At 44.1% G+C, this 14,416-nt stretch overlaps 1 protein-coding gene across 8 annotated transcripts in view, besides 2 other annotated features; it reads left to right on the forward strand.

The window, feature by feature from the left end:
- TTC39C (tetratricopeptide repeat domain 39C) overlaps window positions 1-14,416 on the forward strand; it is a 142,714-nt gene that overhangs the window by 24,816 nt on the left and 103,482 nt on the right. Inside the window, exons 4-5 of one of the 8 annotated variants that reach the window (XM_047437297.1) lie at window positions 2,158-2,401; window positions 4,839-5,145. The exons of 5 other annotated variants lie outside the window; for them this stretch is intronic. Coding sequence is in view for 1 of the 3 variants with exons in the window: in NM_001243425.2 (NP_001230354.1) it covers window positions 2,158-2,221 (64 nt within the window). In the remaining 2 variants the exon portion in view is untranslated. Of the gene's footprint in view, window positions 1-2,157; window positions 2,587-4,838; window positions 5,146-14,416 lie in introns of those variants that run through there. 2 more of the 8 variants (XM_047437298.1, NM_001243425.2) reach the window with 2 other exon arrangements.
- Window positions 2,296-2,345: an enhancer, noted in NCBI's record as "active region_13168". NCBI's record gives its function as "activates an Ori minimal core promoter by ATAC-STARR-seq in GM12878 lymphoblastoid cells {active_cell/tissue: GM12878}" and the evidence as "EXISTENCE:reporter gene assay evidence [ECO:0000049][PMID:35858748]".
- Window positions 2,366-2,455: an enhancer, noted in NCBI's record as "active region_13169". NCBI's record gives its function as "activates an Ori minimal core promoter by ATAC-STARR-seq in GM12878 lymphoblastoid cells {active_cell/tissue: GM12878}" and the evidence as "EXISTENCE:reporter gene assay evidence [ECO:0000049][PMID:35858748]".

Raw genomic sequence — 14,416 nt, forward strand, 5'->3', positions numbered from 1 at the left:
TGTTTGAGGAGCACCCCCCTGGCTCATTTTATCTACATAACAGGGATAGGCAAATTACCCTCTCTGTCTCCTTTTTTAATGATTGTTTATCACAGGGGGACACCCTTCCTCTACTAGTAAACCTTCCAGAGTCTTATTGTTACAATTTAACAGTAGAAACGTATTTTGTATCTAGTGTAACAATATTTTTTATTAAAGCAAGAAGGTCATTTTCTCATGCCACCTTACTAGAATGGTGAAAGTTTATCAACAGCTGCCTGATGAGAAATGGTTACTTTGTAGAAACAGATTATCCTGAAGGCCACTCTTGAATTCGTGGCAAGTCTGGATTGTATAATTCAGATATTATGCATATAGGAATTAGAAATATATGCACAGTTAGAAGCCTTCTTTTGGAATATAGGGCAGCTCCCTGGTTGGGATTTGAAACTGTAGCTGCCTTTCTATTGGAAGTATAGTAATAATGTAGCAACAAACTGCCCTTTGGTGGTGCTGAGCCACCATTATGCACTTTGAGGTGTTTTCCCAAAGGTTAGGATAGATTTGTCCTGCTGGAGGGCGCTTCTGCTTTGAACCCAAGTCCATGTGTTTGTAAGTTCGTGATCTTGACCACCTGAAGTCAAGTTCCTGATCTTGGTCTTAGTGCCCAGTGCTCTAGTCTAGCAGCAGTCGCTCCCCCTCCACACACACACACTCATTCCCTTCCTCACTCACTGTTTGCATATGTGACGTGCACTCAGACCTTTAGTTGCTCAGGCACATAAGACAGGCTGTGGGTTAGGTGCCAAAGACATGTGCTAGATATTTCGGTGCTGCAATGTAGGTGTAGGTAAAGCTGATGGTGATAGGGAGGCTGGGAGACATACGCATGGTCCCCTGGAGCCTGTGGAAGAAAAGAGAAGCAGCGTCTAACTCAGCCTGAAGGACAGTTTTGTGGAGGAAATGATGCCTGAGCATTATGATGGGGTAGAAGAGAATCAGTTGAATGAGGAGTTGGGAGGGGCGGGGCAAGGAGAAAAGGAGAATGTGAGAGGTGGTGAGGTTTAAACGGAAACCTAGGAGAGGAAACAGCGGAAAAACCCACGTGGAGACATGAAATGACATTGGGAAAAGAGTGGTCAGAACTGCAGGCTCACAAGTGTTGCTAGGCCGTTGCACTGGATGGCTTGTTCTGCACTTATTTTCTTCCTACCACTGGTCAGTCCATGTTTCCCATGGTCGGTGCTTTCCTCAGGTTTACTTTGCTACTGGGTGTCTCGTCAACTCACTTTTCACCATGACCATTGTCCACAGCGTGGCTGTCACAGCCATAATTCACCGTTGGCTCCTTGGGACTTCAGGATCCTAACGTCACCACCTTTTTTCTCTTTATGGCTTGACATATTACTTTTTAACAGAGGACTGGCAGTAATGAAGCACATGGAGGCCTGAGGAGCGTGAGACGTTTGGAGCTTCTGACCCAAATGAGCTTCGCAGTTCTTATTTCTGCTGCCCTGATGCTGAGCCTCCCTCCTCCCCTCTTGAGGTTACCAGCCCATCTCCCGCTTTAACTCTTGGCATTCTTTTTGATCCTAAGACTTCTGCAGTCTTTACCTCTGCCAGGGCTACTACCAGTTTCTGGCTGTAGATATTTTAAAGAGTCCTACTTACTCATGGTCAACTAAAATAGGAAACATGTATCGTTACTATGAATGTTTATTGGTACATAGTTGCTATGAATTGTGACACTTCCTTTTCCATTTTAAACTATAAAATGGCGAAAATGTATTAAAAAGCAAGAAAAATGTATAGTAAGTAATGTGAGTGTACATCAAAGGAATGTATGGACCCTAAATTGTTTAACACAGTTTTTGGCGCATGTGACAAAGCCATATGAGAAAGCCATAGGATCTGTGGCCTCATTTTGTGAGCATGTTGATTGCAGAGCCAGTGTTACCATACAGATGGTTCCATATAATCCAGGAGTTGGTAAACTATGGCCCGTGGGCCAATTCTAGCCTGACACCAGCTTTTGTAAATAAAGTTTTGAGACACAGCCATGCTCATTTGGTTATGTGTGGTCTGTGGTTGCTTGTGCACTACACCTGCAGAAATGAGTAGTGTCAGAGACCATATGGCATGCAAAGCCTAAAATATCTACTCTCTGGCCTTTTACAGAAAAAGTTTTTTGACTTCTGAGAAAACCTCAGCGCTTCCTGGAGAAACTCAAAGGCGCTTGTAAGAGATGTTGAGTCAGCAGGCCTCTGAGCCTCTTCTCTGCCTAAAACCATGTCAGATTCTTGGGAGGACTGGAAGGACTTGCAGGCTGTCCATGATTTCTAGACAAGTCATCTGCTCACAGACAAGAATGTGTCTCTGCCTTGCTCCTGGAGACGATAGGAGAGTCCACAGATGCAGAGATGTAAGAAAAGGAGAAGAAATGAAAAGCAGAAATGGTTTAAGGGAACTGGCGGGAAAGACAGGAAACTCATCTGTTGACTTTTTCCATCCTCTTCAACTCAGTGGTGTGTTGGAAAAAGGCATCTTTTTTCCCCCAACTATTACACTGTCTGAAAAGGTCCTAATTAAATATTCATTAAAGATTCATTTGGCTTGAGATTCCTTTTAAAATGCCACTGCCTGTAGAATAATAGGAGAGTTTGGAGGAAATTATCAGGAAAAAAATACCTGTGCTATAGTGTAAGTCTCTGTAAGTGTGTACAAGTGTACAAGAAACACTTGTACAAATACACAATGCGAAAGATGTGAGCCTTTAAAAGAATGTGTTCTCTAAGTCACATATGTAGTTATCCCTCAGTATTCATGGGGGATTGGTTCCAGGACCCCCAGCGGATACCAAAATCTGTGGATGCTCAAATCCCTGATAGAAAATGGCGCAGTATTTGCGTATCACCTACACACATCCTCCCATATACCTGAAATCGTCTGGTAACTTATAATACCTAACATCATGTAAGTGCTATGTAGATAGTTGTTATACTGTGTTGGTTAGGGAATAGTGACAAGGGAAAAAGTCTGTATATCTAGTACTAATGCAACCTTTTTTTCCAAGTATGTTTGATCTGCGGCTGGTTGTGGAATTCGCGGATACTGAGGGCTGACTGTATTGTATTAACCGATTGAGTGAGATTACCTTTTTTCCCCTCATTTAGTTGAAAGAAGCTATATTGAGTGAAATAAAGTTTTGATGAGGATTTTTTTTTTAAAGGGAGAGAGAAGTAATATTGAAACATGGAAGCACTTTCTATTCTAGTTACACGAAACCACTTGTAGATCCCCAAACGTGGTATTTCAGGAGCCTAGACCTTTCACGCAGCCTGTTTTAGTTCCTGAAATATCATTTTTGCACCTGGTCTCCTTTCCCAGGGTAATCCTCCTATTTACCCAGCAGCAGCAGTGGGACTGGAAGAGGCTACGAAGGACTCAGGGAGAAGAGAGAGTGTCAAGAAAGTACAGAAAAGTAGATGGCTGTGTGGCAAAGATGAATTGATCTACTTCAAAACTGCCTAGTGCTAGCTCTACCCTGTGAAAGGAGTCAGGTGGGGTAGGGAAGAACTGGTCCCTGTCCTACACAGCACCTCTTTCAGCACGTCCTCTCCTCCCAACACCCTAAATTCGCGAGGCCGCTGCTCATTCTGTAACGTGGGTCCGTTTGGGGGTTGAATAGCCTTTGTGGGCTAACCTGGGGAAAATGCCTTCCAGTTTCTGAACAAGTGACTGCGAATACATGTTTTTATGTAAAATTATTCATGCATTTGCTGTGTAGGAAGAGAAAGTCATGCCTCCTTGAAGTGGATTTGATGATTGAGCTGGGGTTTTGCTTTTTTTCTTTCCTTCTTTTTTTTTTTTTTTTTTTTTTCCGAGACAGAGTCTTGCTCCATTGCCCAGGCTAGAGTGCAATGGCACGATCTTGGCTCACTGCAACCTCCGCCTCCTGGGTTCAAGGGATTCTCCTGCCAAGCTGGGCCTTTTCTTATGTAAAGATGGTTGGTGGTTTGCACCACCCTTTTCCCTAGCTGAGGTTGCTTTCTCCATCTCTTCCTTCTTGCTCAATAATTTCAGAACACAAGAAATATGCCTACATATATCTAAGGTAGTTACCCCTGTCTTACAGGAAAACTCAGTTATTACAGAGAAAGCCCCTAGAGAGTCAGGAAGTTCATCTCTTTAAAAAGTCTGTGTTCACAGAGTTTCTGCCATGAACAGGACAAAGGTGAGAGGCAGGTCTTTCCTTCAAGGAGGCATTACTTCATACCTTTATTCAAATCTACCTCAAACAGAGTCACTTTAACACTTAGTCTTGTCCAAAGCTGTAACATCTGTGAACTCACTGGCTTAGGTGACTTTTTTTTCTTGTGTACGTCAATGTAAACACATAATGATAAATGTAAACACATAATGATTTCAGGTATATGGGAGGATGTGTGTAGGTGATATGCAAATACTGTGCCATTTTCTATCAGGGATTTGAGCATCCACAGAATTTGGTATCCGCCGGGGGTCCTGGAACCAATCCCCCATGGATACTGAGGGATGACTACATATGTGACTTAGAGAACACATTCTTTTAAAGGCTCACATCTTTTGCTTTGTGGGCTGGCATTGAGCCAGCCCACAGCCCCAGCCTTGCCTGAACTTTTCTCCTTGTTTAATTCCCCTGCCAGCTCTGTGAGGAGTGCCTTTATTATCTCCCTTAGACAGAGGGAGGAGGAAGAGCCCTGGGATGTGAAGTGGCCCAACTCGGGTCTCGCAGCAGTAGTGGGGAGTGCTGGGGTTGAAACTGGGCTGCATGGCTCCAGAGTCTGGGTGTGACCATGTGCTATCTACCTCTCTTACAGAACTTCTACAGTAAAAGGATTCACATGTGTCCTGTCAAAGCCATTTTGGGGCAAGTTCCTTCAGTAATATGCAGATTGCACTCTGACACCCAGAAGCTATCCATCAAACCCCCAGAGAGATCTGTCTTCAGGGGAGATGTCACCCCAAGCTTTAGACGCTCTGTGGCTCCCAGTCTTGTGTAGGATAAAGCCCAGCCTCCTGGCCTGGCCTCCGATGTCCTGTGATGTGGCCCTGTCTGCTTCCTGTCCTGCTGCCCTTGTCCCTTCCATGCTAGTTGTGCTGGAATATTTTACGTCATCCAGCCAGGTATATCTTGCTCTTCCAGACACGGCTCAGATTTTTAGCAAAAGGTTGTATGACTCCTCTGCACTCCTGCGGCATCCCATCCTTACCTTTATCCGGCACTTGTGTTGCATCAAAATTGTTTACACATCTGCCTGTCTGCATGAGAGGGCTGAGATGCTAGAGTTGGGTAATACCTGGACATCCTCTCCAGGTGTTCCTGGCCTTCCTGAGGTTGCTGGAGTTATGTGGGGTCCAAGTTGTTAAAGGCATAGCAGCTCCCCTTTATTTGCAGTCAGCAAGTGCAGCCCAGGAGGCGGCTGCCCTGTAGGAGCTCTGAAAGCCTTGTTCCTCATCACTCCCTCCCATTCTGATGGCATGGGTGTGTCTCTTGACCCAATTTGAGGTGCTCCAGACAGGCCCTAATATTGATGTTCTGCTTCTCATAAGCAGTTGCCAGAGCTCCTGCCTGGCCCCGTCGCTGCCTTTGCCTTGGAACGTCCAGGCTGCCCTGTGCTGAGTAAGGGCGATGGGAAGCAAAGCCGCTGCTGAGCCACATGCAGGTCTCAACAGTGCCATCACAAGGAAAGCTGGGCCCTAATGACACTCAGTCTCCTGCTTCCAAAGAGGTCACAGGTGTCAGCTGCACCTGGCCTGGGCATTGTAACTCTGGATGGCTGCTCTGTGAGCTGTTCTCTACTCAGTGTTGTGTGCAGTGACAAGGAGGCCAGCCCAACTGGTGGGACTTGTGCTTCTCCCATCTGATCCCTTGCAGGGCTCTGGGGTACCCCTAGGGGGTGGTGCTATGATAATGCTCTGATGTGATTTGCCTGCCTGGCATGAGAAAGTAGAAATGTAACTGCCAGATTCCAAAAGCCAGATCCTGCATTTCAGGAAGAACTGGTCTCTGGGAGAATCTGGTGGCTAGGAGGGGAAGCTTGCTAGAGCAGTGACTCTCGACTCTGTCACACCAAATGCCCCCTTTTGCTAACAATTCCCCTTTTATGATTGTAATTCCCCTTTTATGATCCTGAAATGAAATTGATAGATGAAATAACCTACTCATGCATACAATGTCTAAAAATCAATAGAATGCCCAAATAAAATTACATATATATATATGCATGTATATATATATATATATATATATATATATACATATATATATATATATATATATATATATATATATATTTTTTTTTTTTTTTGAGACGGAGTCTCACCTTGCCTCCCAGGCTGGAGTGCAATGGCCGATCTTGGCTCACTGCAACCTCCACCTCCCAGGTTCAAGCAATTCTCCTGCCTCAGCCTCCCGAGTAGCTGGGACTACAGGTGTGTACCACCACGCCAGGCTAATTTTTGTACTTTTAGTAGAGACCGGGTTTCGCTATATTGGTCAGGCTGGTCTTGAACGTCTGACCTAATGATCTGCCTGCCTCAGCCTCCCAAAGTGCTGGGATTACAGGCATGAGCCACCGCGCCTGGCCTACATATATTTTTAAAGTGTAAATGCTCAGCACACCTTTATCCGATGATAAAATGAAGTAGTTAGATGATTGCACCCTTGTATAATGAAGAAATTTGGATTTAGGAGAAGGTGAGAAGGCGCTGCAGAGGAGGAGAGAAAAGAGCAGGTATGCTTTAAAATGAAGGAAGTAACAGACTAAATTTACCCGTAAATGTTAAGGGAAGGAGGGAAATAACCCTAACCTGCCAAGGCAAAATACTGGCTGTTGAAGTGGTTTTAATAAGAAGTGTGACATTTTTGCAGTGAACCAGGCCTTCTTTGTCAGGATGGTATTAATTTCCTGTGTTAAGACATAGGATGTGTGCTGACAGAGTGTCTCAGAAAACATATCTCCCATCGTTAAATCCCTCTGCACACCAACAACTTTAGAGACCATTGCCTTTAATAGGTGTCCAGGATTAGACGATGAATTGAAAAAATGTTTATAGGATAGTTGAGTGGCAACCGACTCCTGAGGACAGTTTCAGAGTAAGGTTGAAAAACAAGATTCAAACCCAAAATAAATAGTTGGTTTTTGTTTGTTTTTGTTTGTTTGTTTTGACAGTCTCACTGTATCTCCCAGGCTGGAGTGCAGTGGCATGATCTCAGCTCACTGCAACCTCCAACTCCTGGGTTCAGGCGATTCTCGTGCCTCAGCCTCCTAATTAACTGGGTCTACAGGTGCGTGCCGCCACACCCGGCTAATTTTTGTATTTTTGGTAGAGATGGGGTTCTGCCATGTTAGCTAGGCTGGTCTTGAACTCCTGGCCTCAACTGATCTGACCGTCTCGGCCTCTAAAAGTGCTGGGATTACAGTCATGAGCCACTGCGCCCGGCCTCCAAAATAAAATAATTTTGACATGTCATTTTCATGACAGAAGTTTCAGTATGCTACGTATCCTTAAGAATATTGGGTGGCAGAAATGAAATAAATGTACTAATGAAATGTATCCAGGATTTCATGTATCTTCAATAATTTATTTGGCTTTAAATACATTAAAAGGAGCTTTCAGTATCCCTATTAAATATTGGCAGGTGATATACAAATGCAAACTGGTTTAGCTGCGGTTTGTTGACAACTCAGATGCCACAAGCAGTGTTGCTGTTGGTGACATGGTTTTCCATAATTGTAAACAAATCTTGATAAACTGTGTATTTAAGCAGTGTAAGGAATATTTTGTGTTTCTACATAAATGGAGGTAGATTCTAGAACTAAATAAACAGTTTTTCATCTGTGTGAACTTCCAGAAAATGTTCAAAAGTTTTGCGGGACATGAGACAGTGTGCTGGATGATCTCATACATTGCAGGATGCCTTGGGTCGTTGGTCCCATTCCACTACAGTCATCATGTCACCCCAGAACGGCCCAACAGGTTTGCAAAATGTCTCCATTGAGAGGCGCTGAGCTTGGGGTGGGAGGGTTTAGGACCAGATTTGGTCTCTGTGGCTGAATCCCCTAGCCTGCTTAGAACAGCACAATAGCAGGGTCTTTCTGCAGACAAAGTGGGGCTGTAGGAAGGGAAGAGGCTGCCCAGGCTGGCACAGCTGTGGCTGAAGGAGAGAGGCAGAGAAGGGAGTGTCTCTGTTGCGTTGGTGACGGCAGGCAGCAGGACAGAGGCCAGGTGTAGGGTCCCTTGAGAGGTAAAGAGCCCCTAGTGTTGGGCTCCCTGGGTCCCACTGCCCCTAAACACCAGTCACACACACATTGCTTCTAGAGCCCAAACAGCTCCAGAAAAGTATGGCAGTTCAGGTTTCTCTGTCCCTTGCCATGTGGATGGAGAACTACTGAGGTTCTTCCCTTCTTCATACTCCACGTGGATCTAGCTTAAAGGAACTGTGTCTCTCCAGCCACCAGGTGACTTTATTTTCCTGTCCTGTTCCCACCCAACTCTTCCTAACTTTGAATCTCAAAGTATGAACTGGCCTATATGCTTCCCAGGAAGTGAGCAAGTTTTGTTTTTGTTTTTTGCTAAGTAGGTTGTGCAAGTTAAACGAACAAAAATTTAGTTAAATAGCAAAGGCTAAATCTCCATGAATCAGGGCACAGTTGCCTCAAAGTTCCATGGTCTTTAGAAGCATGGGATGCTTCTAAAATGTGAGGAAATAGGGTCAGATGCTTCATGGTTTTCTGTTGAGCTTGTACTTAGAAGTAATTGGGAAAGGAAAGCCACATAATGTAGTATGTTATAGGGCACCTTGATACACAGATAGGCAGAGCTTTCCCTGGTCTCACCCTCAACCATGACATCAGTTGCATCCCATAATACATGTTAGCTCAGCCTGTTTTACATGCTCAGGTGCACCATAACACTCCTTTTGGGTGGGGCTTTTCCAGGAAGATACGAGTCTGAGCGTGGTGTGCCTCACTCCCAGTGCCTACAGCTGGGTGTTATTTGCTGCTCTTTCCACTTTGGCCTTCTTAGCACACAGATTATTGTCTTTTGTTGCCTCCTTCCATCTGCAGCAGCCATTCTTTGTGTTGTACTTCATTAAGTTATCACTCCGTAAAATAAGCATCAAAGATAAACAGATTTGCAAATATTTATATCATTCTGTCTCTCTTGCAAATGAAACTCTTTGGTACTATTCTAACAGGACAGGACAAAAAGAGGGAAAATGACATTTTGAATCCAAATTCAAGTTGAATTTGCTAAATGACGGAGAAACAATTAAGAAATCGGCTGGGCACAGTGCCTCACACCTGTGATCCTAGCACTTCGGGAGGCCGAGGCAGGTGGGTCACTTGAGGTCAGGAGTTCGAGACCAGCCTGGCCAACATGGTGAAACCCCGTCTCTACTAAAAATACAAAAATTAGCCGAGCGTGGTGGTGGGTGCCTGTAGTCCCAGCTACTCAGGAAGCTGAGGCAGGAGAATCGCTTGAACCCGGGAGGCAGAGCTTGCAGTGACCCGAGATCGCGCCACTGTGCGAGACTCCATCTCAAAAGAAAAAAAAAAAGTAATCGGATTAAACTAAAATTCATGCTGCACAGCCTCTAGGATCGCTTCCAGTAGAATGAGTCACTGGCAAGGCTTTGAGTGCTTCCCCTCTTCCCCAATTTCAAATGGTGAATTGCAAAATCTCAAGTTATGTGTTGGCAACTGATATCTGGAACAAGAAAGAACTTGATATCTTTCTGTCTTGCAAATTATGCTCACCCGCATCTTTATTTAGGCCTAAAATAAAGTAGCATGTTGGAATTCATCAGCTGCACACATCTCTGAGGTGACTTTTTTTTTTTTTTTTTTGAGATAGGGCCTCGCTCTGTCAACCAGGCTGCAGTGCCGTGGCATGATCATAGCTCACTGTAGCCTTGATCTCTTAGGCTCAAACCATCCTCCCGCCTTAGCCTCCTGAGTAGCTGGGATTACGGGCCTGTGCCACCACACCCGGCTAATTTTTTATTTTTTTATTTTTTAGTAGAAATGAGGTCTTGCTGTGTTGGCCAGGCAACTCCTGAGCTCAAGCAGTCCTCCCACCTCAGCCTCCCAAAGTGCTAGGATTACAGGGTGAGCCACTGCACCTGGCCTGATGTGACTCTTGACCTATCCAAGGCTGCATGGGGTGGGCTGCTTTTCCAGGCCTACAGTTGTTGAAGGAATTGGGCTACTGACTTTTTTCCACATTATAGCCAGGTTTGCACAGAAAAGAGTTTTGTTTACATCTGGAATGCCATTTGCTTCAGCTGTCAACCACGTGGATCCCAATCTATTTTTGATTATTTCTGTATTGATGATTGGTGAGACACTCATTACTTTGAGTTATCAAAATTACAAATGGAGCTAGAAATTACTCCTCTTGAAATAGCATAGGGGAAAAAAAAAGGAGGTGGGAAAGGGCCGTGGTATAGGGGAAATGGCTAAACTACTTATAAACTACTTAGAAGTGTAGCCAAAGTGTCAGGACCTGCTGTGGTGGAATCTCAGAGATTCTTGTTCTGGAGAAATTGCCAATGTGAAAATGACAAGGAGAGAATACTTGAGTGTTTTTCTGTAGCCCTTGTGTGACATTTTGGATCTGGGCTGGGCTTATAAGAGAGAGTAGTTGAGGCTAACTTGAAATTGGGATCTTTTCTCCTAATGGAAGAATGTTGATTTGTAAAACAAAACAAAACTTCATCAAAGAGCTATTCTACTAAAGTCTAGAAATTTATACTTAAGGAAGCCTGTGAATAGTATGTAAACCCAAATGAAATTTTCTTGACCTATGCTCTACTAAAAACTGAAGAAAAATGTAGATGCCTTAGTGAAAGATGGACATTTTCTATGACATTCAGAGTTGTTTACTGAGAACTGGTTCACACAAAATGTTATTATGAAGAATGTTTCTAGCTTCCCTTTGAAATGACTTTTAACTGAAAAATAGAGAAGTCTGTAATATTTTTATTTTTATTTGTTTATTATTATTTTTTGAGATGGAGTCTTGCTCTGTCGCCCAGGCTGGAGTGCAGTGGTGTGATCTCGGCTCACTGCAACCTCTGCTTCCCGGGTTCAAGCAATTCTCCTGTTTCAGCCTCCTGAGTAGCTGGGACTACAGGCACATGCCACCACGCCTGGCTAATTTTTGTATTTTTAGTAGAGACGGGGTTTCACCATATTGATCAGGCTAGTCTCGAACTCCTGACCTCAGGTGATCCACCCATCTCAGCCTCCCAAAGTGCTGCGATTACAGGCATGGGCCACCGCGCCCCTACGTAATATTTTTAAATGATTGCCTAAAATTAATTAGTGTTTGAGTTGCTTGTATAAATAGATGTGTGTGGTGTTGTTGTTGTTGTTGTTGTTTTTGTGTGAGACGGAGTCTTGCTCTGTTGCCCAGGCTGGAGTGCAGTGGTGCGATCTCAGCTCAGTGCAACCTCTGCCTCCTGAGTTCAAGCGATTCTCTTGTCTCAGCCTCCTGAGTAGCTGGGATTATAGGCGTGTACCACCACGCGTGGCTAAGTTTTGTATTTTTAGTAAAGACGGGGTTTTTCCGTGTTGGCCAGGTTGGTCTCGAACTCCTGACCTAGGTAATCCACCCACCTTGGCTTCTTAAAGTGCTGGGATTACAGGCGTGAGCCACCAACGTGGCCAGATGTGTGTGTTTAATCCTCAAAGCATTCCTGCAGTTTGTAGATTATGCCACATATAATAGAGGAATCATATTATAACTTAAAGCTCTTTGAGAAAATAATGAAAATATCTTTTAAATTTCAGTAGTTTTGGGGGAACAGGTAGTGTTTGGTTACATGGATAAGTTATTTAGTGGTGATTCCTGAGATTTTGGTGTACCTATCACCCAAGCAGTGTACACTGTACTTAATGTGTGGTCTTTTATCCTTCAGCCTCCCACCCTTCCCCCGCTGAGTCCCCAAAGTCTATTGTCATTGTTATGCCTTTGTGTCCTCATAGCTTAGCTCCCCCACATAAATGAGAACATACGATGTTTGGTTTTCCATTCCTGAGTCACTTCACTTAGAATGATGGTCTCCAGCTTTATCCAGGTTACTGTGAATGTGATTATTTCATTTCTTTTCATGGCTGAGTAGTAGTTCATGGTATATTTATACCACATTTTCTTTATCCATTCATTGATTGATGGAAATTTGGGCTGGTTTCATATTTTTGCAGTTGTGAATTGTGCTGCTATCAACATGCATGTACATGTGTCTTTTTCATATAATGACTTCTTTTCTTTTCCTCAGAGTACCCAGTAGTGAGATTGCTGCATCAAATGGTAGATCTACTTTTAGTTCTTTAAGGAATCGCCGTACTGTTTATAATGAAAATATCTTGATTAATTTTGTTACTTTTTAAGTAGTTCTTGTTGAAGGATGGGTTAGAAAGTCTTTTTAGTTGAGAAATGTGGTTTGGATGTCCTCTTTGTGAATTGCTTATCAGTGCTGTCTCCATGTGCCATTAGCATAGAATAGAGATGAATTGCCTATTTATTTGTATGACGTAAGATAGAGAAGGAACTATTGCTGATGAGTTAGGAAGATATTTGATACACATTAATGATAGATTGAGAAAACCTGTTTAAAAATTGACTAATCTGAAGAATTATTTTCAGAACAGATCAGTAACTCTTAATGACTATTGAGACTTAGCAATAAATGAATATGAATTAAGCAAAACTAGAGAGGAATCTGAATACAGTTAGAAGTAGTACACTCTTGTAATCATACAAGTCTGTTGATCTTTGCTTAAATGCCTGCACAGACAAACAGTGACAGTGAATGGGGGTCAAGTTGGTCATAGGTGCACGCTGTTCGTGTGTCACTGTGTCGTGTGTATTTCATCCTTAATCCTAATTCTCTCAACAGCCCCAAAGATAGGCCTTTTTTTTTTTTTTTTTTTTTGAGATGGAATCTCGCTCTGTCACCAGGCTAAAGTGCAGTGGCATGATCTAGACACACTGCAACCTCCACCTCCCAGGTTCAAGCGATTCTCCAGCCTCACTCAGCCTCCTGAGTAGCTGGGATCATAGGCACCCACCACTACGCCCGGCTAATTTTTTAGCCGAGACAGTTTCGCCATGTTGGCCAGCCTGGTCTCGAACTCCTGACCTCAGGCGATCTGCCTGCCTCGGCCTCCCAAAGTGCTGGGATTACAGGCATGAGCCACTGCACCCGGCTTTTTGTTTTTGTTTTTGAGACAGGGTCTTACTCTGTTGCCCAGGCTGGAGTGCAGTGGCAGTGCGATCTCGGCAACTTGCAGCCTCCAATTCCTGCATTTAAGTGATTCTCATGCCTCAGACTCCTGAGTAGCTGGGACTACAGGCATATGCCACCACAACTGGCTACCTTTTTTACTTTTTTTTTTTTTTAAGTAGAGCTGGGGTTTCGCCATGTTGGCCAGGCTGGTCTCGAACTCCTGACTGCAAGTGATCCGGCTGCCTTGGCCTCCCAAAGTGCTGGGATTACAGGCGTGAGCCACTGCGCCTGTCCTCCGAGGATAAGTCTTTTACCATCACCTTGCACATAGAAAATTAAGGTTTACCAAACCCAAGTGAAAAAGATTGTGAGTGGAAGATATGCTCCCAGTCCTAGAGTGTATGCTGGTTCCTCCAAAAGAACCCTGTTTTTATGCTGAATAGTATTACGTGGACCTAGCAAGATTGCAGGTCAGTTTTCTAGCCCTGATCTTCTTCCGGGGCTCTCAGGCTCAGTGGACTGCACCACTTGAAACCTGGTTGTACACACTAGAAGGCTCTTGGCACCTCTCTCACCTTTATTGTCTGCCAATTTTGCCTCTCAAGTATCTGTTGAATCCATCCACTTCTCTTCATCTTTACTACTGCCGCCTAGTCCAGGCCACCCTCACCTCTCACTTGGACACTTGCACTGGCTCAGCTGGCTGCCTTATATCCTCCCTGCCCTTCCTTTACCTCCACCAGAGTGATCTCTTCAACATTAATGTCTTGATTGCATGCCTCGCCACTAAAATCTCTTTTGCAGCCTCTGTGGTGGGTTCAAAAATGGTCCTCCAAAAGGTATCTACTTCCTAATCTCTAGAATCTCTCAGTGCTACCTTGTAAGGAAAAGAATAAAAGGTGCCTTGCAGATGTGATTAAGTTAAGGATCTTGAGATGGGGGATTATCCCGGATTATCTCGATGGGCCCTAAATGCAATCACATGTATCCTTATAAGAGGAAGGCAGAAAGAGATTTTACACACACGCAGAAGGTGGCGAAATGGAAACATCAAGAGACAAGATTTGAAGACATTGGCCTTGAAGATTAGAGCCACAGCTGCCCTAAGCCCGAATGCAGCCAGTCACCAGAGGATGGAAGAGGCATGGCAGGGAC

The sequence above is a fragment of the Homo sapiens genome, chromosome 18 (assembly GCF_000001405.40).
Source record: "Homo sapiens chromosome 18, GRCh38.p14 Primary Assembly".
Classification (NCBI taxonomy): Eukaryota; Metazoa; Chordata; class Mammalia; order Primates; family Hominidae; genus Homo; species Homo sapiens.